Source organism: Homo sapiens, chromosome 13 (genome assembly GCF_000001405.40).
Source record: "Homo sapiens chromosome 13, GRCh38.p14 Primary Assembly".
In the NCBI taxonomy this organism is placed as follows: Eukaryota; Metazoa; Chordata; class Mammalia; order Primates; family Hominidae; genus Homo; species Homo sapiens.
Window position 1 is genome coordinate 25,158,054 of NC_000013.11, and position 23,192 is coordinate 25,181,245.

General features: G+C 43.0%; 1 protein-coding gene and 1 long non-coding RNA gene across 6 annotated transcripts, besides 5 other annotated features; both read right to left on the reverse strand.

The window, feature by feature from the left end:
* Positions 1-3,625: 3,625 nt before the first annotated feature.
* AMER2 (APC membrane recruitment protein 2) lies at positions 3,626-14,235 on the reverse strand. 5 transcript variants are annotated; one of them, NM_199138.2, is made up of 3 exons: positions 13,860-14,114; positions 12,786-13,666; positions 3,626-12,428 (listed from the first exon to the last, which is right to left on the reverse strand). In NM_199138.2, exons 2-3 carry the CDS (start codon positions 13,564-13,566, stop codon positions 11,551-11,553), a joined length of 1,659 nt encoding a protein of 552 aa, NP_954589.1. In that variant the 5' UTR covers positions 13,567-13,666; positions 13,860-14,114; the 3' UTR covers positions 3,626-11,550. The 5 variants fall into 5 exon arrangements, with proteins under 5 accessions (NP_954589.1, XP_016875904.1, XP_005266337.1 ...); XM_017020415.2 differs by having other exon boundaries at positions 3,626-13,666; positions 14,078-14,235; XM_005266280.5 differs by having other exon boundaries at positions 3,626-13,666; positions 13,950-14,235.
* Positions 12,725-12,814: a silencer, noted in NCBI's record as "silent region_5183". NCBI's record gives its function as "represses an Ori minimal core promoter by ATAC-STARR-seq in GM12878 lymphoblastoid cells {active_cell/tissue: GM12878}" and the evidence as "EXISTENCE:reporter gene assay evidence [ECO:0000049][PMID:35858748]".
* Positions 14,236-14,770: 535 nt separating the features above from the next.
* On the reverse strand, positions 14,771-21,948 carry LINC00463 (long intergenic non-protein coding RNA 463). Its single transcript, NR_120428.1, has 4 exons — positions 21,724-21,948; positions 18,623-18,796; positions 15,860-16,034; positions 14,771-15,269 (listed from the first exon to the last, which is right to left on the reverse strand). It is a non-coding gene; the product is annotated as a long intergenic non-protein coding RNA 463 (long non-coding RNA).
* Positions 15,094-16,293: an enhancer, noted in NCBI's record as "BRD4-independent group 4 enhancer chr13:25747285-25748484 (GRCh37/hg19 assembly coordinates)". NCBI's record gives its function as "activates an origin of replication core promoter dependent on BRD2, P300/CBP, MED14 and CDK7 cofactors, and independent of BRD4, by STARR-seq in HCT116 cells {active_cell/tissue: HCT116}" and the evidence as "EXISTENCE:reporter gene assay evidence [ECO:0000049][PMID:35650434]".
* Positions 21,955-22,004: a silencer, noted in NCBI's record as "silent region_5184". NCBI's record gives its function as "represses an Ori minimal core promoter by ATAC-STARR-seq in GM12878 lymphoblastoid cells {active_cell/tissue: GM12878}" and the evidence as "EXISTENCE:reporter gene assay evidence [ECO:0000049][PMID:35858748]".
* Positions 22,863-22,952: an enhancer, noted in NCBI's record as "active region_7481". NCBI's record gives its function as "activates an Ori minimal core promoter by ATAC-STARR-seq in GM12878 lymphoblastoid cells {active_cell/tissue: GM12878}" and the evidence as "EXISTENCE:reporter gene assay evidence [ECO:0000049][PMID:35858748]".
* Positions 22,963-23,012: an enhancer, noted in NCBI's record as "active region_7482". NCBI's record gives its function as "activates an Ori minimal core promoter by ATAC-STARR-seq in GM12878 lymphoblastoid cells {active_cell/tissue: GM12878}" and the evidence as "EXISTENCE:reporter gene assay evidence [ECO:0000049][PMID:35858748]".

The following is a 23,192-nucleotide window of genomic DNA, read 5'->3' on the forward strand; positions in this document are numbered from 1 at the left end:
CCTTCACTTTCTTCAAAGTGAGAAGTTTGTAAAATAACCCTGAGTACAAGTGAGTTTTTTCCATGCTCATTTCACAACAAGTATGTAAAATTCTACACAAAAAGGAATATACAATTTTCCTAAAGTCTGAGTTCTTGATTGTGTCTGTCTCACACATTCTTCACTAAATATTAATTGCGTCCAAATGTCTGGACATTTGGTATCTGTAGATAATTGTCTTTTTCAAAAAGAAATAAAAAACAGAAAACCTTCCTTTCTCTAAGGGAAGAGGAAAAATACTATTGTTAAAACTTTTAACAAATACATCAATATTTCATCCATTCTAAGATCCACATTTTCACAATTTTACGTCTCTGAAATTGAGTGCATCTTACAATTGGCAGCCTTTTTTTGCGACACATGAAAGAAGAGCGCATCTATAGTACCTTAAATTGAATGAAATGTGAGCAATTGCTTAAAATAATGTTGCTAGACAAAGTGTTTAAAGTTTAAAGAAACCCACTGTCCTGAAGAACTTAAGTACTCTTCAGGAATACGACAGGAATTAGGTATCCAAATTCTGGAATTGTTAGAGGACACTAAGAACTGCTTCAGTCATGTGAATCTATCACTTTGAGATATCATATGTTTCTCCTTCAATCTCTTAAAGAAGTAAATAATATTTATAGGGATTTCATTTTAACAGGAATCCATATTTGTATTCCTGGAATAAACTCAACGTAATCATGATGTATGGTTGATTTTACAGACTACTAGATTCAATTTTTTCTAATAGTTTATATAGAAATGTTGAATTTCACAATAGAGATGTGTCTATAATTTTTAATAATTATATACATTTCTATAAATTCTATAAATTTCTATAAATTTGGAATTGCCTGATCACTAGATTTTGCTGAAACATTGGTTCTGCTATCTGGTTTTACTGCTTTGCTTTGTTTTGTTTTGTCTGGAGGGGGAGAGAAAGAGTTTAACTACCAATTCACTGTCTCTCATAGTTCCAGGACTCTTTAGGTTATCTATTTCTTCTCAAGTCACTTTTGGTTATATATTATATATTCTCATATAATATATTATATATGCTCATATATAATATATTATGTATGCTCATATATATTATGTATGCTCATATATAATATATTATGTATGAGCATATATAATATATTATATATGAGCATATATATTGTTATATATGAGCATATATATTATGTTATATATGAGCATATATATTATATGTTATATATGCTCATATATAATATGTTATATATTCTCATATATAATATATGTTATATATTCTCATATATAATATATGTTATATATTCTCATATATAATATATGTTATATATTCTCATATATAATATATATTTTATTCTCATATATAATATATAGTATATCATATATATTCTCATATATAATATATAATATATTCTCATATAATATGTATTATATATATCCTCATATATAATATATATTATGTATAGTCTCATATATATTATATATATTCTCATATATATTATATAGTCTCATATATATTATATATAGTCTCATATATAATATATATAGTCTCATATATATAATATATATATACGCATATATTCCTATGTTTTATACACACACACACACACGCACACGAATTTGTATATTCTACCTTAGTTTTAAAAATCTATTGTCATAATATGCCAGACATGGTGGTTCGTACCTGTAATCCTAGCACTTTGGGAGGCCGAGGCAGGAAATTGCTTGATCCCAGGAGTTTGAGACCAGCCTGGACAACATGGTGAAAACCCACCTCTACAAAAAATAAAATAATTAGCTGGGCATGGTTGTGTGGGCCTGCAGTCCCAGCTAATTGGGAGGCTGAGGCAGGAGACTCGCTTAAGCCCAAGGGGTCCAGGCTGCAGTGAGCCATGATCATGCCACTGTGCTCCAGACTGGGCAACAGAGCTAGACCCTGTCTCAAAAAAAAATTATTGCCATAATATTTATAACATTCTTTCATTATACTTTTTATCTCTACTGCAACTGTAGTTATGCCCATCTAATTTTGAACCATACTTTTTATCTTTTCTTTTTTTTCTTTAAAAATATTGTTAGATGGTTTTCAAAAAATTTTTATCTTTATTGATCTACTTTAGGGTATCTTTGTTTTCTGTATTATTGCTTTCTGCTCTTATTAATATTAATTCTCTTTTCTTTCCTTTTTCTTTTTTTTTTTTTTTGAGACGGAGTTTCACTCTTGTTACCCAGGCTGGAGTGCAATGGCCCGATCTCAGCTCACTGCAACCTCCACCTCCTGGGTTCAAGCGACTCTCTTGCCTCAGCCTCCCAAGTAGCTGGGATTTACAGGCCTCAGCCACCATGCCCAACTAATTGGGATTTTTAGTAGAGATGGGGTTTTACCATGTGGGTCAGGTTGGTCTCGAAATCCTGACCTGAAGTGATCCACCTGCCTCAGCCTCCAAAAGTGATGGGATTACAGGTGTGAGCCACCTGGCCAGTTCTTAATTAAAATTCCTATGTGTTTATTCTTTTATTCTTTTCTTAACTTCTTACATTTAATTAAAATGGATTCTCAGCTTGTTAATCCTCAGCTCCTTATCTTTTATAACCTATTTGAAGCTATAAAATTCTCCTAAGTACAGATCTGGTTATATTTCATGTCTTAATATAGATCCTTTTCATAATTATGCACATCTAATTGTTTTTTAATATCCTTACTCATTTATTCTCTGATCCATGAGCTATTGAAAGGTGCATTTTTCAAATGTCCAAATGTATGGAGTGATTTTAATTATCTTTTTAATACTAATTTCTACTGCAGCTGTGTTATGGTAAGAGAACACATTCTGTGAGGAACTATTTTTTGAAATGTGTCATGACTTACTTCATGGTCTAGGATGTAATCAACATTCACAAATGTTTCATTTGCTTTTCAAAAGAACGTGGATTCTCTAACTGTTTGGTCCAGGTTTATAATATGTGGCCAAAGGTGTTGCTCAAATCTCTTTATCCTGACTGATTTTCTGTGCTTGACCATCAGCTACCAAAAAAGGTCTAGGAAACAGTCCTCGCCACCCTACTGTGGATGCATCCACCTCCCCTTATGGTTCTCAGCTCATTCTTGGACCAAGGAATGGATAGCTGTTGGCCTCCAGGGATCAGTAGCTACATCTTGTGGTTTCCGGCCTCCTTTCCTTGAGAGGCTTCCCTACCTGTTACACATAGAAAATGAAAACATACCACCAGAACCAAAATAAACAAAAACCAGAAAGCAACTCTTTAGAAAGACTCCAGTGGCCCTTATGTTGCCACTACCTGACAGTCAGCACGGATTAGCCGGCCTCATGAGAGATGATAAGGAATGGAGATTTTCTGAGTAAAAGACTCAGAATTCAAATCAGAGTCGGAATAACAAATGAACTTTTCAAAAGACAGCTGCCCAAACCAAACAAGGAATTTTTCACTTGTTTACGAAGTGTGGAGAGAAATATGGGCCTCCCATTGGTCTTTCCACGAGATAGTCACACACACATCACCTCCTCATCATCACCATCATTAGTATAATTTATAAAAATTGAAAAGACCGGAAATAAAATTGATCCTGGAGAAATAACAACCAACAGAATTCACTTTAAATGCAAAGGAGCAACAAAATTTATTGACTGAATTAAACACAACAGTAAAATGGCAGTGTTGTAATTTCATTTTCAGATGTTTGAATGGAACAAGAAAAGTGCTATTAGCCCAAGCTTCTTACATTCATTAAAAGAGTGACTATCAAAAACAGCAACATGCACAATGGTACATATGCACAAAATGGAATTATATCAACAAATATACAAAATACCCAAAATAAAATATTTACAGGTTTAAAAATATAAACATTGATTCCTCTATCCCATTAAACCATTGGAGTGGAGAAAGGAGGAAAGACCCTATTGCTATTTAGAATCCTTTTTAAAACAAGTTTTTAAAACATAGAATTAGTTCTAGGAGACAATTTTTGATGTTTTTCAGGGGTTTAACATTCTATTATAAAAATAACATCTATAAACCTACTAACAATTTTCCTCCTGTGCACAAAAATAATACTGCCAAAACCTGTCCTCAAAGACATGCCTGACTTTCAGGAAAGCTAATTATGGAAATGGAGTTTCTCGTTTGGGTTATTTTTGTTACTATTTTCAAATAACCAGCAACTCCCTATATTACACTGAGATACTTTATATAAATAACGTGGGCGAAACCTGAAGTTCACAATGAGCCTGCTAGGTAGCTGGTGTCAAGTACAAATGATAGGAATTGACTTTGCCAACAACATCAAAAGCATTTTCCCTGATATTCCTGATAGACCTACCACTATCAGATCCTCCATATTCAATAAGATTTATCCTGGAAGCAATGAAAATGTTAAATATTACTTTGCTAGAGTTTCTCCTCCTTTATTTAGAAATAAATGTGTAGTGGGGACCAGTGGTTGTAATGTAGATACTTGAGAAGTTTCATTGATTCCTTCAGGCCACCTGGAGCCATTTCAAGGCAAGTGAACAAGCATTTTCTGCATGTCTACTCCATGCCCCTATGTTATTGAACCAGATATTTTTAGTATTTCTGCCTTAGTTTGTTAAATGATTCAGGTCTGAGAGTATCTGAGAAGGTATAGTATGTCTCAGGTAACCAGAAACCTAAGCCATATCTTATTTAAAACGTATCTTCTCACATAGAGCAAAAGTTATTCTACTCGATTATTGAAGCATTTCCAAAATTACCCATTTTACCAATACCTACCTTACATGGTTCTTGTGAAGAGTAAAGATAACAATGTAAAAAAAGCACACAGCATCCTCTCTGGCAACATAGTAAACATACAGGATATGTTAGTAGAATTCAATATAAAATACTCATCTTCATGGTGGCTGACTTATTGATGGTGTTCAATAGCTATTAGTTGAATGAGTTAATGAATCAGAAAATGTAGGACAGGATTCAGTGGCTGTAGACACAACATAGGACGGACAGCTATTAAAGGAGCCAAGTGCTTATTTCTGAAGTTCAGAATTGCATGGAGGCAAGGGACAACTCATACAGCTGTCATTTAAACAAACACAGATAACAAGTTGGCAAAGATGTGGAGAAATTGGAACCCTTGTGCACCATTGGTAAGTATGTAAACAGATGCAACCACTGTGGAAAGCAGCACAGAAGTTTCTCAAAAAATTAAAAATAATTCTATGTTTAATTAGAATTACCATATGAATGACCCAGTCATTCCACTTCTGGGTATTTATTCAAAAAAACTGAAATCAGGATCTTAAAGAGATATTTTCACTCCCTCGTTCGTTGTAGCATTACTCATAATAGCCAAGATGTGGAAATAATCTAAACGTCTGTCAGTAGATGAAAGGGTTTTTAAAAATGCAGCATATACATATAAGGAAATATTATTCAGCCTGAAAAAAGAAGGAAATCCTGCCATAAGCAACAACATGGCTAAACTTGGGGGTCGTTATGCTCAATGAAATAAGCCAGTCACAGAAGGACAAATACTGCGCGTTTCCACTTCTATAAGGGATCTAAAATAGCCAGACTCACAGAAGCAGAGAGTAGAATGATGGCTGCCAGGGGCTGATGGGGGAGGAAATGAGGAGCTGCTGTTCAATGGGCACAGAGTTTCAGTTACGCAGGATGCATAGGTGAGAGAGATTTGCTGTACAACACTGTGGCTATAGTTAACAATACTGTATTGTGTACTTAAAAATTAAAGAAGGTAACCCGGGCGTGGTGGCTCATTGCCTGTAATCCCAACACTTTGGAGGTAGAGGTGGGCAGATCATTTGAGGTCAGGAGTTTGAGACCAGCCTGGCCAACATGGTGAAACCCTGTCTCTACTAAAAATACAAAAACTAACGGGCATGGTGGTGCACGCCTGTAGTCTCAGCTACTTGGGAGGCTGAGGCAGGAGAATCACTTGAACCTGGGAGGTGGAGGTTATAGTGAGCCGAGATCAAGCCACTGCACTCCAGCCTGGGTGACAGAGTAAGACTCCATCTCAAAAAAAAAAAAAAAAAAAATTAAAGAGGGTAGATCTCATATTCAATATTCTTACTGCAATTAAAACACACACACATATGCATAGACCACCCAGAACCCACCAAGATGGCTTAAGGTAGGAATAAAAACAAATGAAACAAATATGCTTTGAATGAATGATACCCTGTCAGGGAAGAAGTATCGCCATGACAACAGAAGAGATTTCTGTCTGTACTTCCCACATTAATCCTAAGAGAAGAGGATCCCTCCAAGGGAAGGCCAATGTTTGCCTACTCAGCATAGCACAGTGGCAGGGTTCCCTGTATATGATTGTGAGCACCATCATCTCAGACACAAAACTAATTTTCAGCTGCGTGGACATGGGTTAGCTCTTTCTATTAGAAGTGAGCTGACAATGACACTAAGCAGTGCTTAGCTCTCTATTACTGAAAATCACTAAAGAGTTTATATCCCTGTCCTAGAGACTAGGGGAAAAGAGAGAGAGAGACAGACAGACAGAGATGGAAAGGGATAGAAACAAAAAGGATGAATTAAAGCTGTCTTACTGGGGAGATAATATTACCTACCCCACATGGCTGTTAAGAGGACTAAGTAATTATTTCTAAATCTCCTAGCAGTGCCTGACACATAGTAAGTATTCAATGAATGTTAACCATTGTTACATTTACTATTTTTTAGAGGCATTTGTGTGGCTTAATTCATAGTGCCCTTCTTCAACTTCACACCACTTTGCTTCACCCCACAAACTATAAGCAACAAATGCAAATACCAAAAAAAAGTAAAATAATATTGTTTTGTGTTTTTAATGAATATTAAGAAAATCCAATTACAGCGCAGCTTAGGTGTGAGCTCCAAACTGAATGGGTTTTATTAAGTATTTGATACAGTCTATGCCCCATAAATATGTGTTGCATTGAATTAAAGTAAATATCCATCATAAAAGGTGCCCAATTTCAGTTCTGGAGGCTTCATGACTATTTTCATCTTTCCTTTTGCAGTTTGAGAAGGAACTCCTTTCCGTAATCACGAAACTATCATTCTGAATCACCTCTTAAAAACATCATCTGCAGTGACATAATAACATTCCTTAGAAGTGGCTATTGTTGCAACAATCTGTCTCCTTAAACCTTATCACAGTGCAAGGCTTTTGAGAAGCAATGCATGACAGCCACCGGGAAATCTTCAGAGCAAGATGAGGTCTCACAATCAATGGCCGCCTGTGAGGAGCCACACTTACACGCTGCACTGACAATGTCACAGCTCGCTTCTGCCTGTGAACTACACCCTTGCCTTTTGCTTCCCCACACAGGCTCTGTAAGACACTCGTCTACCATACTACCCCTTTGGTTCCAAACTGCTTCATAAATATTTTTGTGTGTAATGAATTGAAATTTTCTAAGGCTGAGTTTACACAAATTACAACTGTTCTTTTCCTTGCTCTGCCTGGAGGAGGGGAAAGGGAAACTGGGTTAGGTGAAGTATTTGGGGTTTTCCTCTTATTTCACTCAGATACTTTAAACCAGCTTTCCTCAGTGATGAGATGAGGCAATTGTGATGCTTATTCCTTATGTTTAACAGCAAAAAACTTCTTGAATTAATTTCTTAACAATGAAGGGGAGCAAAGCATACGTGAATGTACTGGAACAGGTCTCAGCAGAAGCCCAGCATCAGGGGAGCCAAATCCATATATTTGTAATTCAGGAGAAAAATTCAGATAACTAACAGCAGGGAATGCATTCCGCCATGCGGACAGAGCCAACATGCTAGCGTCATGTGAAGTGTCCCGTCACTGCTGTCTGAGGGCACTTAGGAGACATGAGCTGCCTGAGTGGATCTCTTCACACCAAGCTAACAGTCAAGAGTTGCCTTTAAAATTAATCTGACAAAGGCGTAAATAATGAAAACTCTTAGAAAATTCAAAGAAATCTCAACACCTGACATAGTCTTTTTACCTGGATAATTGTGTAAGCAAAGGGCTATTTGCATACTGTTTAACTGCAAATACTTGAAGACTACCTCTGAGATGAAGAAATAAATCCTTTAAACACGGTGAGTTATTACCTTCATAGATATTAAACCCTTTGTATTTAAATAAGCAGATAATTTGTGGAAAATGTATCTAAAGGAAGTCCTTTGTATTCTATATTCCATTGTTGTTATTAGATAAAATAAAATGTATCTAGAGGAAGTCCTTTGTATTCTATATTCTATTGTTGTTATTAGATAAAATAATAGAAATCTATTTACTCTTGTGATTATTTAAAATGCTGTAGTAAAATTTCTCCCAATTGGTGCTAATGGCAGGATAAACGCATCAACCACCATCTGTACTAAAGCAGAGTGTTTCAAATAACAGTGTATGTGTAATATAGACATTCAAGTCAGGCTGTCTTTGTGCAGAGCTATTAAACCAACCGATAAATTTTCGCCCAACAATTGATTTGACTTTTTCCTGTCTAATTTGGGCAGCCTTTCAACTAAAGGAAGTCAATCAACCAAGTATCTTAGAATATACATACATGTGGGAAAGATATAATTAGCCTCTATCCAATCCTTCCCTTAAAAAGTCAGCAAATATGGGCCTGAATAATCTTCACAAGGTCATTAGATATAATGTATTAATAAAAATTGGAATGTAAATCTAGGAAAATTCTTGAAAAAACAATCTCCATGAACACAAATGAGAGAAAGTAGCCCTTGGCACAAGAAAGCAACTATGATCCCTTTTCTATGGTTGGAAAAAGTTGAGAATCTACTCTTCCTGCCACTCCAGGGATTTCCCATCAAGTGATTGAGGCTGTTTAATTCATTGCCCAAATCCTTTATTTGATTGGTGTGGGTGCAATTCTTAAAAAATAAGGTAAAAAAAAAGTGGAAAATATAAATTTTAAAAGAAAATATTTTATATCTTTTATAACTGGTTAATTGACAGGTCAGTGGAAATTAAGATAAACTTTGCTCACGTGTTCCTTTTCTTATAAAGAGGAGACACAGCATAATGGTGTAAATGGAGGATTAAGTCCTAAAATTATGAAAGCAAAAACTTTTCTTCTACTGCTTAAGAAATAGATTGCCTTTACTATTACAATATTCTCATAAGTTTTTCAGGTATTCTTAACTTTCCTGTACAATTGAACAAATGAACCAACATAACTTTGCCATGGATTCATGCAAAGGAGAATATAACCCTTGCAGGAAAATGTACAACAAGGAAATCAAGATCCTTTGTTTTACAGCTAGGAATAAAATTTATATTTTCTCCATTCACTAGGGGAAGATGAATGTATTTTGAGCCTAAATAGTACCAGCGGCATGAAATCAAATGTAAATCCCTTGTTTAATACAGAAATAATTTCAAAAATAATTTCCAGATCTAGAGTAGATGTCTTTTGTCTGTTAGTCTGTACACAGTTGAGTGCATGAGCACGTGAGTGTGAGATGCTTATATGAATTCTTGGTAGTGTGTTCAGAATGCTTAAGGCTATGACTGCATATAGGGCCTCATTTACACACATAAAGAAATTAAATATTAAAAGATTACTTTGAAATAACATTATGGATCTGAGACAATGCAATAAAAGCCAGTCATATGACTAATGAAGAAATTCAGCAAACCTCTCCTAATTGAATCACTGCAAATTTAAAATGGGGAATGGCCTACTTTCTGCTACTGGCTCAATTTGCTTTCCTTTGATGTCCATTTATTTTGTTACTTTCTTCATATTATTAAAATAGGTTTTCATATATTTAACTTGCCTTGTTCTTTCATTTATGAAACAGAAAACAAACTTAAAAAGCATGTAATAACAGTTCATTACTAATGCAATCTCTCTGGAAATGAGACTTATACAGAAGTGTTCATGTCATTTACATATGTGCAGTTTCACGTGAATATGCATAATCTTCCTGGTATGATGAATCACCTCCTAGTAGAAGCTCTGGTCTTTTGATTAAATACACTGAAGTGTATTTCAAAAAGGATATTAATTTCATCATTAGACACTAATAGCATTCTAGGAACTGCTTCAGTTTATCATTCAAACTAGGCATATAATAACCCTTTCTGAAATAAATGTTTCATCTGAAATATTAGAAAACATACATAGAAGCAAACCACTTTTCAAAAAAAACTTGGCATAAAGTGTTTACAATACATAAGCTTGCCAGTGTCATATTCTGAACACACTTGTCTTTGTCATAAGTCTATAAAGCAAAAGGCAAATGATGTGAAAAACTGTATCTTTCTATTGTTTTTCTTTATGTGTTCCTCATTTTGCACTCATTATATTGAGGAATGGTTGGATCTGAAATTTTACAATCAAGGTAAAAAAAAATCTGAAAACAGGGTTTGGGGTGAGAAACAGACTCTTACCCAAAACAAGGCAGAGCCATTCCTCTGGGACACCAGCACAATAGATTTTTTTTTTTTTTGAGAACCAGAGAACCCATATAAAACAAAATCAGAATCGCTTCCCATTACAGTACATAACAGAACATCAATGGTTTGGGGACCATCATCATGTCTAGCTATAAGACCAGATTTTATATTCTAGATATAGAATTATCCAGAATAATTCTATTGAATTGACTGATTACAAAATGTTAACAGCTGGATAAACGGTAAAATATGCATTATCTTCACATGAAAAGGTTTCAGTTTATAAATGCTTAAATACTGTATCTATTGGCATTTAATAAAATCTTTCCCTGATCCTGATTTCTGCACTGGGTGGGGGAAGAAACAAACAAAAGCAAAAGCAAAAGCCTGCTCTCCTGAGCCTTTTATATCTCCCCAAACAAATGACTGAAACCAACCAAACCAAAACTCGCCTTTATTTTCCTAGTGTTAGATCCTTATCAATTTGCATATCTAACAACTGAACGTAGGGAAGTTTTCTGCCAATCAGTGGTCCCCTCTGCTCATCAGGTAAATACCTGGCTCTTTCAGCTTTGGAGGTATTTTCCACACAGTGATACAGCAAAGGGTTTTGTTTTTGTTTTTGTTTTTTTTTAACTGGAAAGGAAAGAGGAAAGAAGGGAAGGAAGGAAACGTGTCTTGGAAGAGGAGATCTCCTCTGGTTCTTCAGCGGTTCCTTCAGGCCTCTAGACACTGGCTTATCCCAATATCCAGGCATGACTCTTACTTAGGTTTGGCTAAGTTCTGTTTTCTGCAAAGGCAAGTAAAGGTGACTTCCAAGTGTTCAGTATATTAAAGCAAAAGGAAGAAAAACTTAAAGGTAAAAAAGAAAAAAGTGCTTGAAAATAATTCTCAGGGACTTATCTTGAGAGGAGAAACCCCCGTGTAGCATCCCTCTTTCTGGTGTTATCCGGTCCCTGCTCAGGGCACAAAGACCTCCTCGGTCCACGCTCTGGAGCAGGGCGGGGGACGGGTGGTGTCCTAAAAGACTTTCTTTAGGAAAAGCAAAACTTACTTTAGTGGTTTCCAGGGAAAAGTTGTATTCCTTGGCATGGGGCCCATCCACCTTGGCCTGGAAGACCTCACAACTTTTTGGCACTGTCGTGGCAGGCCGTTGCTCTGATGGTGGTCCCAGCCAAGCCCCGGTTGCTGACTCTGCGGACCAGCACTTTGGAAACCGGGATTTTTGTTCTGGGCATCTCACTCCTGGAGGGTTGCTGGTGCACCACGGGATGGCTAGATGGAAGGTTGGTCAGGTGCTTGATGCTAATAGGGATCTTAGAGTCCTTCAGCAAGCTGCCTGGTGTTCGCAGTGGACAGGTGATGGTGCCTGGAGATACGGGCTTTAACCGGGACAGGGAGGACGTCTCCTCGTTGTCCTTCCCTCCAGGAAGGGTTGCTGGACTTCCGTCCGGGTCAGCATAGAGATCATAGAGCGCGTCCCCGCTGTAGCTATCCCGGGGGATGCCCGCCTTCTTCCCGCTGCTCGAGCTGTCTTCCTCTGGGCCTGGCGTGGTGGAGTCCCAGTAGCCCTCGTCGCTGTTGGGGACGCCTTCCTGCTGCTCCTTCTCCGGGTGCTTGGGCTCCTCCTTAGGATGGGGCTCGATGGGAATCCGGTTGAGCCTCCTGCGCTTGACCGAGGACGCGTCCTTGGCCGCTTCCACACACCTGGTGTCTTTGGGGGTCTCGGGCACCACCTTGGTTTCCAGCGCAGCTGCCACCTTAGCCGCGCCCTCCTGGGGCTCGGGTCCCTGCTCCTCGGTCTGGGAGAGCATGTCCCAGAACTCCTGTAGATAGGTGTCGTCCACCTCGTCCGGGCTGGCCATCTCTTCCCCGCCTCCTTGGTAGGCCACCACGCCGGGGTTCTTTTTAGACAGAGCCGGCTTGCCTGGCCCGGGGACATGCTTGTCACAGCTGGGACCTGCCTCTTCCTCTTGGTCTGCAATAATATCTCCACAGCCTGTAAGAGAGTCAAAGCTTTTCAGTGAAGTCACGTCAGAAAACATCAAACAAATACGATCTGCCGACGGGTCTGAGGGTGGATCGACAGAGGCAGGGTCTGGGGCGGCGGGCGCCCGGCCGCTGCCGCCTTCGGAGTCGACAAGGGGGACCGTCTTTACGGGAACGGCCCCCGTCCTGGAAGCGTCCTCTGCCGTGCGGACCTCCCCGGGCCCCGGCTCGGCGCGCCGATGCCCCGCGGCGTCCTCTCCCCGGGCGCCGGTGTCGCCGGGGTGCGCGAGGCCCTCTGCCTCTCGGCAGCTCCGCGCTGGGGCGCGGTCGGCGGGGGCGGGCACCTCCTCTCCCCCTGCGGGCTCACCTGCTGGGTCTCGCGGGGCGTCCTGGCTGGGCTCCTCCGGCTCGCGCGCGGCTCTGGGCGTCTCCTCCTTGACGCACTCCAGGCTGGCGGTGAGCGAGCCGGGTAGGATCAAGCCGCCCCCGGGCGCGCGCCCCTCCGCGGCCTCCGCCTTGGCCCGCTTGTCTTTCCTGTGCCAGCGCATGCCGCTGAACAGCCCCCGCAGCCCCCGCTTTTGTTTGCCGCCGGCCTTGCTCGCGTCCACAGGCTCTCCCTTGCCGTTTTCCGAGCGCCCGTTCTTCTTCAGCAGCGAGAAGAAGCTGTGCGACTTGGCCACCGAGCTGCTGGCGAGGGAGCCCCCGCCGGGCCCTGCGGCTCTGGGGGGCCCCGGGTTCGGCCGCCCCCCGCCGCCCCCGCCGCTGTCGCCCCCGCCGCGCGGCTCCTCCTTCCTGCCGCTCTCCAGCACCAGCACCTCGGCAAGTCCGTCGTGGGTCCTGCTCCTCACCAGCCCCGTCGGACCCGAGCTTTTCCCGTCCCCTTTGTTTTTGACCCCAAAAATGCTGGGCATGGTGCCACCCGATTTCCTCTTCTTGAATAATTTGAAGGCAGCTTTATTAATCTTCCCCGACGGCGGCTCGGCGGCCGGCGTTTCGGCGGCACAGTCACAATGCAAGTCCATGTCTGCCGCGAGGGTCCCGGTCCCGGCCCCGGCCTCCGCCTTCCTCCTGCAGACCCCCACGGACGCGCCAGCTCCGCCGCGCTCGCTGACAGCCCCGCCGCCGCCGCGGCTCCGGCTCGTCTCCATGGAAACCGCGCGGGATAAGCCGCTTTCGTCAGCAGTGGGCTCGCGCCAGGCCACTGTCACCCGTATTCTAAATCAACCTGAGCCGCGCTCGCCGCCGCCGCTGCAAAAGAAACACACATAAAAGACCATCTTCCCTCCCGCAAGGGCTTATATAATACCCTAACCCACTTCCATCCGACTTGGCTCGGCGCTGCATGGCGTTTTTGTGGCAGGAGCAGGCAACACAGCCGCGAGCTGATTGCAGAAATTCGAGTCGTAATTATGGAATTCAAATTCCCTCAACTCTCACCCACCTTCGGATTCCTTCTCTAGACTCGCTCTTCACGGGAGCGCAACCATGGATCACGAAATGCCTCTAAAAACGACAACGCAATTCAACCCACCACAAAATGCTTGTTTTTCTTATCCTCTCTCCTAGACTCCCTGCATCTTCATGCCTTTCCCAAGCCCTTCATGTCTGTCCTTAGCATTGGTGCACTAAGCCCAGCAGGCAGGAAGCATGTCTGCCTACATCCATGTCTTGTCCAGAGCTGAGCACACGCTAGGTCCATGCTGTGTGGCTGTCATTGTGGTTATGGTTCTTGTGACAAAAGTACACGCCACCACTCAATCAGTCTATCAGCAGCCCAGCAATGCAAGCACAACAGCTCCCCGGGGTGGAGTTTGCCTGCACCTTTGGGACAACCATGACTTTTATCCCAGACTCCAGCCACCACGGGATGAAGTCACAGATGCTGCGGCACAGCCCACATCTGATAACAATAGACAAGCTGACCGAGACACACAGGCTGGGAATCTCAGACCCACTCCACAGGTGGGCCTTCGAGTCCGGGTTCTGCCCTCTCCTTTCCCACTCAGCAGGACAGTGGCATTATTCCTGTCACTGCGGTACCACTCCCCTCCCCCATACCACCAGGGCTGACTTGTAGTCCCCTTCCCCAATGTACAGAGCAGGAAAAGCTTGGCAGGGGTCCCTGTGTGTCCAGGGATCTCTGCAGACATTCCTACCTGCCTGGTCTGGGGAGAGGGAAAACCTTTTTTCTGGGAACAGCTCAGTCTAGGGATCTGTTCTGTGTTCTGATTTAAAAAGTGACTGCTAATATTCTAATCTTGACATCTGATTTCATAATCCCAGCTGAGTGCTTTTTAGCAAAAAGAAATTTGGAGAAGCATATACATATATAAATATAACATGTATATATAGTATATATTATTTAATCATTTGATTATTTATTAAATATCATTTAAGAATATATGTAATAATTACATATATACACAAACAGTAGTCTTTTCCCTACTCATTTTTTATATGCTCTTTGCATTAGGCCAATAAATCCCAATCCCCATCCACATAAGTTGGCGTTTTATAAATGACGTATGTTGGCCATTGCAGCTTCTGTTGTTATGAGATACAGCTGGTTAAAATTTAGACCTTGGAGTTCTTAGTTGTATTATTTCCTTTTTTTGTTTATTTTTTTCAAGAACACTGTTTTGTAAAACGAAGAAATCAATGAGTTCAGGTTCAGGAGAGGTTGTCACTTCCAGACTCTAATCCCATCAACTCTTTCTCACTATTGATGAGCATCTCTCCTGGTACAGGAAGTAAGGTGAGGCCAGAGAGAGGCTTTCCCGGATTCTAATTGACCGCTTGACATGATGAATCAGAGTCCTCAGTGCTTTCTGGGGAGACCACGTGTAAGGAACTGTAAAGAGAAACCCATTTGTTACGTCTTTACAACCTTTTGAAGAACAATAGAAAGTCTCTCAATTTTACACACATACACACACACACACACAAACACACACACACCCATACAGTTGCTTAGATTTGTGGGTTACTATGTAGCTCTGTCAGTTTGGAAGAGTTTGTGACTGGGATCAAGGAAAAGTAAGTCGCCTATTAAAAAATCTCCCTTTCTCCACTGGGAGAAAGTGGTCTGCTTATTCACCCATCAGGACAGGTCAAATGTGACTCTAATTTACATGAGAATCTTTGGGCCTCCTGGGAGAAATCTGATAGAGGACTTTGGGATGGATATCATTCTTTTGGGACATCAACACTCAAACAAAGAGAAAGAGACAAAGCTGTCTTCAGCCTGCGGAAGGTGCCCTCACTGTGAGTTACTGGCCCTGAGATAGAAGAAAGCAGGGACCCCTGGAACAATCTGAAGGCACTGGGCATGGGAGCTGTAGAGGCTGCGGTGTGAGTGAGGACCCTCCAGCGTCCTACTCAAAGTCCTTGTTACAGAGACAGTGGGAAAAACGAGGGTGAAGTCAGCTGAAAGGAACTTACCCCAAAAGCCAGACAGGTAAGGAGAGACTCTGTAGGGGAGAGAGATGAGGCGCAGGATGGTCCAATGGTTTGTTGGTTAGAGCCAGGTTATGAATCATCACAAAGACTGAGCCATACCTTATATTAAACTTCACAGTCAAGAGTGGAGAAAGCAAAATGGTGATTTTTTTTTTCCCTGAGAGACAGAACATGACAGTGAAGATAATTTTACCGTAAGCACTCCCATTTTTGTTTATAGTTTCTTCTTTCATTCTTTTCCCCCATCCTGCCCCAGCTTGGGAGTGAATAGAAAATTAGAGTAGAAAGGAATAGAGAACAGGACCGAGGGGAAACATTTCAGGGAAAAGCCATTCCAAAACAATAAGACGTATCACAAATGCAAACAGCAAGTGGATTTTGCTGGAAGACATGTGTGGGCTTTTCTTTGTTGGCACCAGGAAGTATTTGTCGTTTTGTTGAGGCTTTTTTCTCTAGGTAGTGAGCTTCTCTGGAGGATGGTACTCAAAAGGAAAAAAAAAAAACAAGAGAAACACAGGAAGAACCATTTGAGAACTTAACGTCGTCGTCATCATCATCATCATCATCATCATCATCACATCATCATCACATCATCATTTCCTTTTTTAGGGTGCCTTCAAAGCAGTCCAGCCCTTTGCCCAAAGCTTACTGGGTGGAATTTCTTTCTTTCTCTTTCTTTCTTCTCTTTTCTTTTTCTTTCTTTCCTTTTCTTTCCTTTCTTTCTCTTTCTTTCTCCTCTCCTCTCCTTTCCTTTCCTTCCTTTCCTTCCTTCCCTTCTTCTCTCTCCCTTCCCTCGCTCCCACCCTCCCTTCCTCCCTCCCTCCCTCCCTCCCTCCCTCCCTTCCCTTCCCTTTCCTTCCTTCCTTCCTTCCTTCCTTCCTTCCTTCCTTCCTTCCTTTCTTTCTTTCTTTCTTTCTTTCTTTCTTTCTTTCTTTCTTTCTTTCTTTCCTTCCTTCCTTCTTTCCTTCCTTCCTTCCTTCCTTCTTTCTTTTTTCCCAGAGTCTTGCTGTGTCACCCAGACTGGAGTGCAGTGGCGTGATCTCGGGGCTCACTGCAGCCTCTGCCTGCCAGGCTTAAGCAATTCTCCTGCTTCTGCCTCGCCTGTAACTGGGATCACAGGTGTACGCCAACAAACCCAGCTAATTTTTTTTTTTAAGTAGAAACGGGGTTTCACCATGTTTGCCAAGCTGGTTTCAAATTCCTGACCTCAAGTGATCTGCCCGTCCCGGCCTCCCGAAGTGCTGGGATTACAAGCATAAGCCACCGCACCCAGCACTGGGTGGAATTTTCTATCCTAGGTGAGCCACCGAGGAGCTTCCCTTTGAGCTGCTGTGTGGCTGCTGCTAAGGGACTTCTCATATGTCATAGCATTGCTGCTTAAGGAGGCTGCTAGCTTTACCTTAAACTTGCTGTGGGTCTTTAAAGGGATAATGGTTCATCAATACGGTTTGGAAATAATACCTGAGTTGAGACTACCACCTCCCATCTGCAGACCACTTGGCCAGCTCCTGACCTCACCCCAGGCTGAAATGTCTACCTCCCTGCTCATGTCCATTCCCACCTGGGATTATCCTCCAAGGTGGACTTGAGAAGCTGTGCTGCCAGTGAGAACCCCCAAATGTCCAGCCCAAGTTCCTCTTTATGAGATGAACAGAAAAAAGCTCAGAGCCACTGGTCTTAAAGTCCCCTGCTGTCCACTGTCTTCCTGTATCTGAGGCCTGTCCTTGCCCTCCATGGGCCTCATGGAAGCTGAGACCACAATGTGAAGTGCACAGGTGCCAGGAGAGAAATGTGTGGACGCTCCTTGCAGAAAGCCTGGCACCAGATGCAATGCTGCCGGCATGTTCCCGTGACCCCCTTGCCTGGGAAGCTGAGGCTGGAGGCTAGGATGAGCAGCATGAGGGCTACAGGTCTGAGAATACTAGGCCCTGAGCTAAATTGAAGTTCTTGTGTTTTCTTTAGCATATTTTGATTCCTGATTTCCCCAAACATCAGCTTTCACTATGAGTTAATAGCTGTTCTGGATATATGCTTATTAAGAGGATAAATTTATTTCTAATTAGTAATATGCGATCGAAAAGCCCACTGCAACTCATGATTTTCCACATTAACCCTAGTGCACAGTCAAGGCTGCTAGGAGAAAGAGCCCATCCCAGGAGGAGCTACAACCCCATGTAGCCTGCAGAGTAAAGGAGCAGCTCAGAGGGGAGGTGTTCCAAGTTCATAGGACATTACCTTTGCCCACCTCCCATGGGTTTGTACCTGGATTCTAGGCAAGGGGAGTGCCACAGAAGACCAAAAAAGGCAAAATGAGCTTTTCCCTGTAATGCTGGTAGGCACCAAGGGGGCACAGGCCATGTGGCAGCTGACAGCACTGGTATTTGGGCAGTTTCCATGTTCCCCCCAGGCTTCCAGTTGTTTAATCTTTGGAATCCATTAGCTTCGAGACACATTTTTCCAATCTCTGCCTCGGTCTGAGGCGGAGATGTTATGTTCCCTCTGCGTGCCTGTCTGTGTCTCTTTACCTCTTCTTAGAGTGACACTAGTCACATTGATTAAAGGCCCACCCTACTCCAGTATGACCTCATCTTAACTTACACCTTGGTTACATTTGCAAAGACCCCATTTCCAAATAAGGTCACATTCACAGGGACCTGGGGTTACGACTCCAGCAGATCTTTTGGAAGACACAATTCAACCTACAACAAACGACATCACCAGCAACGGTGACAGCATCCGCCTCACCTTCAGTCCTTCAACGCAGCCGCCAGGACCCTTGGCACAGACAAGACTGTCCTTGGGCTCAGTCATGAGTGGGTTCAAACTGGGCATGAGCTTCTTCAGCAGGTGTAGGCCTTCAGCAGGGTTCGGGGTCACTGATGGCACTTCTGGGGTTGCCAGCAGTGTGGGACAGTACCACTGCCAGCCAGAGGAAGCAAGAAGGAAAACAGTGTTGACCAAGAAGGGTAGATCTTGGCGTACACATGTGACACCCTGGGGTCTCTCAGGATTTTCTAGGAGGAAACTAAGACGGGTATCAAAGTTCCCATGTAGTGGATAGGGTAGAACAAGAGGACTACTGTTGCTCTTCCTGTTCTCTAGTCCCTGCATGGAAGCCAGAATGGCCTGGGAAACATGTCACACCATAACTGCTCCTCCCAATAATTCCCTTTTCTCTGGCTCTGCCATTTAGCTAGAGCTACTCTTAGAAAACATTGTATCTCAGATTGCACAGGGGGTGGGATTTCTTCAGCTGTTGGCACCAAGGTGGGTGCAGTGCAGCCAAAAACAGGGCAGAATGAGGTCAGATAGCAGAGGGTGCATGGACTGGATGCCAGGGCTTTGGGCATGGATAGATGCCCTGTTAGAGAGCAGCCAAATAAACAGTGGGAATCATCTAACCAGCAGGGATGCAAACCAGAACCAGAGCCCAAGATGAGGGCCCTCTGTTGTTAATGAGGAGGCCAGGCTCAGAGATTCGAGACTGGGAAGCTGCAGGGGGGCTGCAGAAATGATCTGCACCACAGTGGGACACCGATAGGAAGCCCAAGTCCCTGCCCCTTGGGTGTACTTTTGCTCGTCTTAAAGAAACCCTACTCTGCATCTGCTTCTTGACACAAAGCTGGCCTCGCACTCAGGCCTTGGTCCAGCCCACCCAGCACGTACACACAGCATGAACCACCCTGTGTAGCTAAGGTAGGCCTTCTGCCCGGGTTTCTCATTGCCCCCAATCTCCAGCCATATAAGCAAGCTGCTTTCTGCCATGGCATCCCCACATCACAACTGTGCGACCCTTCTGAATCATGGCCCCTTTTCCCAGCTACTTCCACTTCTATCAAAAAGACATGGGAACGTTCTCTAGTTTTCTCATGCCGCTCCAGGTCTGCCTCTGCCCCTTATCTTAAGATCCCCTCCACTGGCCCTGCCATGGCAGCACTGAGGACATACACGAGTGTTTCAGACAGTAGCAGGGTCCTCTCTACTCTCAGGTCCCTAAGCTCATGAGGGGAGGGGTGTCTTATCCCCACTCCTTAGGAGCTAATCTGGATGGAGGGTGCAGGGAGCAGAGCCCCTTCCTAAAGACCCTCAGCAGGCTCTTGCATTCTTTCTGTGGAGCAGTTTCACGGTGCACAGGTATCAATCCCAGGGGAGGACTCTAAACACTTCACCGGTAACTATGCACCAGTAGCAATCCACTTGCACAAGTGCAGTGAGACAGAGAACTCACACAGCAAGTTAAGTGAAGCAATCTTCCAAGGCTCAGTAGTTCTGCCCAGGCCCCATGGAGCCCATTTGCATGTGCCCTATGTTGCACCACAGCTGAGGGACTGTGAAAGCACACTCTGCCTTAGGTTTTATGGCCAGGGGACCCAGGGATCGCTGGGATAAAGTATTGCAGGACATCCTGTTCTAGGGGTGACGGGAACAGAGCCCAGGCTATCCCAGCCAATTCCTCCTTTTCTCAGGATGTTGCATTCCCAGCACATTCTACAGTTATTCTGAGAACCACAGGCAAGTAATGGGGGAAGAGCTGGTTATCCAAGGCCATCTGGGGACTTGTCCTGCACTTTCCTCCTCTGCAACTTCTTTTCTTCCATTTCCTAAAGTCTTGGGATCTTAAGTCGTCTAGATAGCAGACAAAACCACATTCAGAGCAATTACATATTTGTTTAAACTTATTGCTTAGGTCAAGATCTCGGCTCCTGAAGTTCAAATGACCGTAGCTTTGGCAAACAAAAAAACTTTTTTTTCCCCAAAGATATAATGGACTTCAAAAGCATATTTTGAACTCTGAAAGCTGAGTCTTACCATTTTTTCTGTATCTTTGCCTACCTATTCCAGTTTAATTGCTCAGCCCTGCCCCATCCCTAACCTCCTACAAACAATACACAAATATACTTGCTCTCACAGTCTATGCTCCAACAATTTTGAGCATGTTTCCTGAATATGTTATTGTCCTCTTGCTTTTCTAAACATTGCAGCTATCATCTGAGATGCTGTTACCGTCTCTGTGCAGCTAATGAATTCCTATGCATTTCTCATGTAAGACTGGGACCCCAGATCCTCTGTTTCCGTCAGAGGCCCAGCATATTCCCATGATACATCACAAAAATGCTCAGGCCAATTTCTATACAGTGTCAGTCATCGTGGTGCCCCAGGGCTGACTTCCCATAAGTTGGCTCTGACTTTTACCGAAAGAGGGTTGTGATGAGAGTGAGAAGTACAGTTCTTCCCCTCTGTGACAGGCACATCAGCCAACCAGCAGAGCTGCACTTGAGTGGCTCAATCATCTCAATCAGAGGCGGATGACTCCTTTTCTTGGGTCATGACCTCCTTTCCCCCTTTGAGTCACATGGCAGGGTGGGTTACTTCCCTTGGTAGTCAAATATGCTACTTAAGATCATGCTAGTTTGTGTAGCAAATAGATCCCACAATAAAACAGGTCAACTCAATAGAGGTCTATTCTTACTCACTGTTTTAGTCCATTTGGGCATCCATAACAAAATACCATAGATTGAATGCCTTATAAAGAATAGAAATTTATTTCTCACTGTTCTGGATGCTGAAAAGTCCAAGGTCAAGGGCACCAGCAGATTAGCTATCTGGTGAGGGCTTGCTTTATGGTTCACAGATGGTGCCTTCTACCTGTGTCATCACATAGTAGAAGGGGGAATGAGCTCCCTTGGCCCTATTTTATAAAAGCACTAATCCCATTCATGAAGACATCACCCTTGTGACTTAATCCTTTCCCCAAAAACCTCACCTCCTGATACCACCACCTGGGAGATTAGGATTTCAACATATGAATTTGGGGAGGGCACAAACATTCAGATCATAGCACTCACCTATAAGTCAAATATTGAAACCAGAAGGGTGAGTCTCTTCCATGTGATCATTCAGGGCCCCAGGCTTCACTTCTCTGTGTCCCCACTGTGTGGTTGTTGCTATCTGCATTTAGCTGGTGGAAGGAGAAAGAGATCCCGGAAGAAGCACGTCCATTTCTAAGAAGCTTGACTCCGACATGGAACAAATCACTTCCTCTCACTTCTGTGGGTGACATCTAGTCACATGGCCACATCTGGCTACTAGAGAGTGGGAAATATGGTCTAACCACGTGCCTGGCCACATTCCTATTACTACAGAAGGAGAGAACAGATTAGAGCAGGCAGCTGGCAGAATGTGCTACAAATCAACCTACTCAGTAGCTGTGGTGGGGAAAGGAAGCATTCCGTCTCCCTAGTGGGTTCACTTTCCTCCACGCTTCCCCCTCCCGCAAGACAGTGCATTTCCTCTCAAGACCTCCCTGTACCAATCTCTATCGCCTGCTCCCAGCTCTCTCCCTACCCTTCAGCCTTCCCTTAGGGGAATGTATTTTTTGGTTAAAGCAAACACGTCTAGAAAATGTTTGAAATACACTAGATTAAAAACCTGATTGTGGTTATTCCCACCTCCAGAGTAGCTTAGAAAGGACCCCCATGGTGTCCATTCCATTCCGTGAGCATTTATAGAGTCTCTCCCGTGTGCTGGGTGCTACCATGAATAAATCATAATGCCTGCCCTGCACGGTGACCAGGAGGCTCGTCAGTGTGAGACTTGGTTTGGTGTGAACTCTCCAGCTCATCAGGCCGACAGTACCATTGTTCCATCCCGGATTGTAGGTCAGTGTGATCAGGCCTCAGCAGCTTGGGTGTTAGTTTTTTCTTCTTCTTCTTTGAAAAAAAAAAAATCTATGTTTTCCTCCATGATGGTTAATCCTCAAATAGTCAGGCTTACTTCTGTCCCGGATCCTAACCACCTACCAGGTTTTCTTCGTGGGTTTTAGGTTAAGTCCCTGATCCGGTTTCATGCAGCTTTCATTGATGTTTCATTTGCTATCCACCACAGCAAGGTTACTTTTTTCAAAAGACAGAAATCTCAGCAGATGTATTCATTCTGGGATGTTTCCTGGACTCACACCAGTGAGCTCATTAGCCCAGGCTAACTATGGGCCTTTGGGGGCTTTTTCTGTTCTTTCCTTTTTTTTTTTTTTTTCAGTTTGTAGCAAAAAGCAGGATCATGTGATTTGCGCATAGCAGCTCTCCTTCCTGTGTGTTCAGTGAGCAGTGACTGAAATTCCCCCCAAGAAGGAGGGCTGTGCTTTCTAAACATGCATCCTTCTTAGCAGTGTCTGCTTTTGTTTAGTGGAAGACTGAAGCTGAAACAGGAAATTTCTAGGTCAGCTATACTTCACTCTAATAAAAGAAAAGTCTAGCCAAAAAGAACAGCAAAACTATGGCCTGGGCTTTTTGGAGTGTCTTGTCTGATTACCCAATTA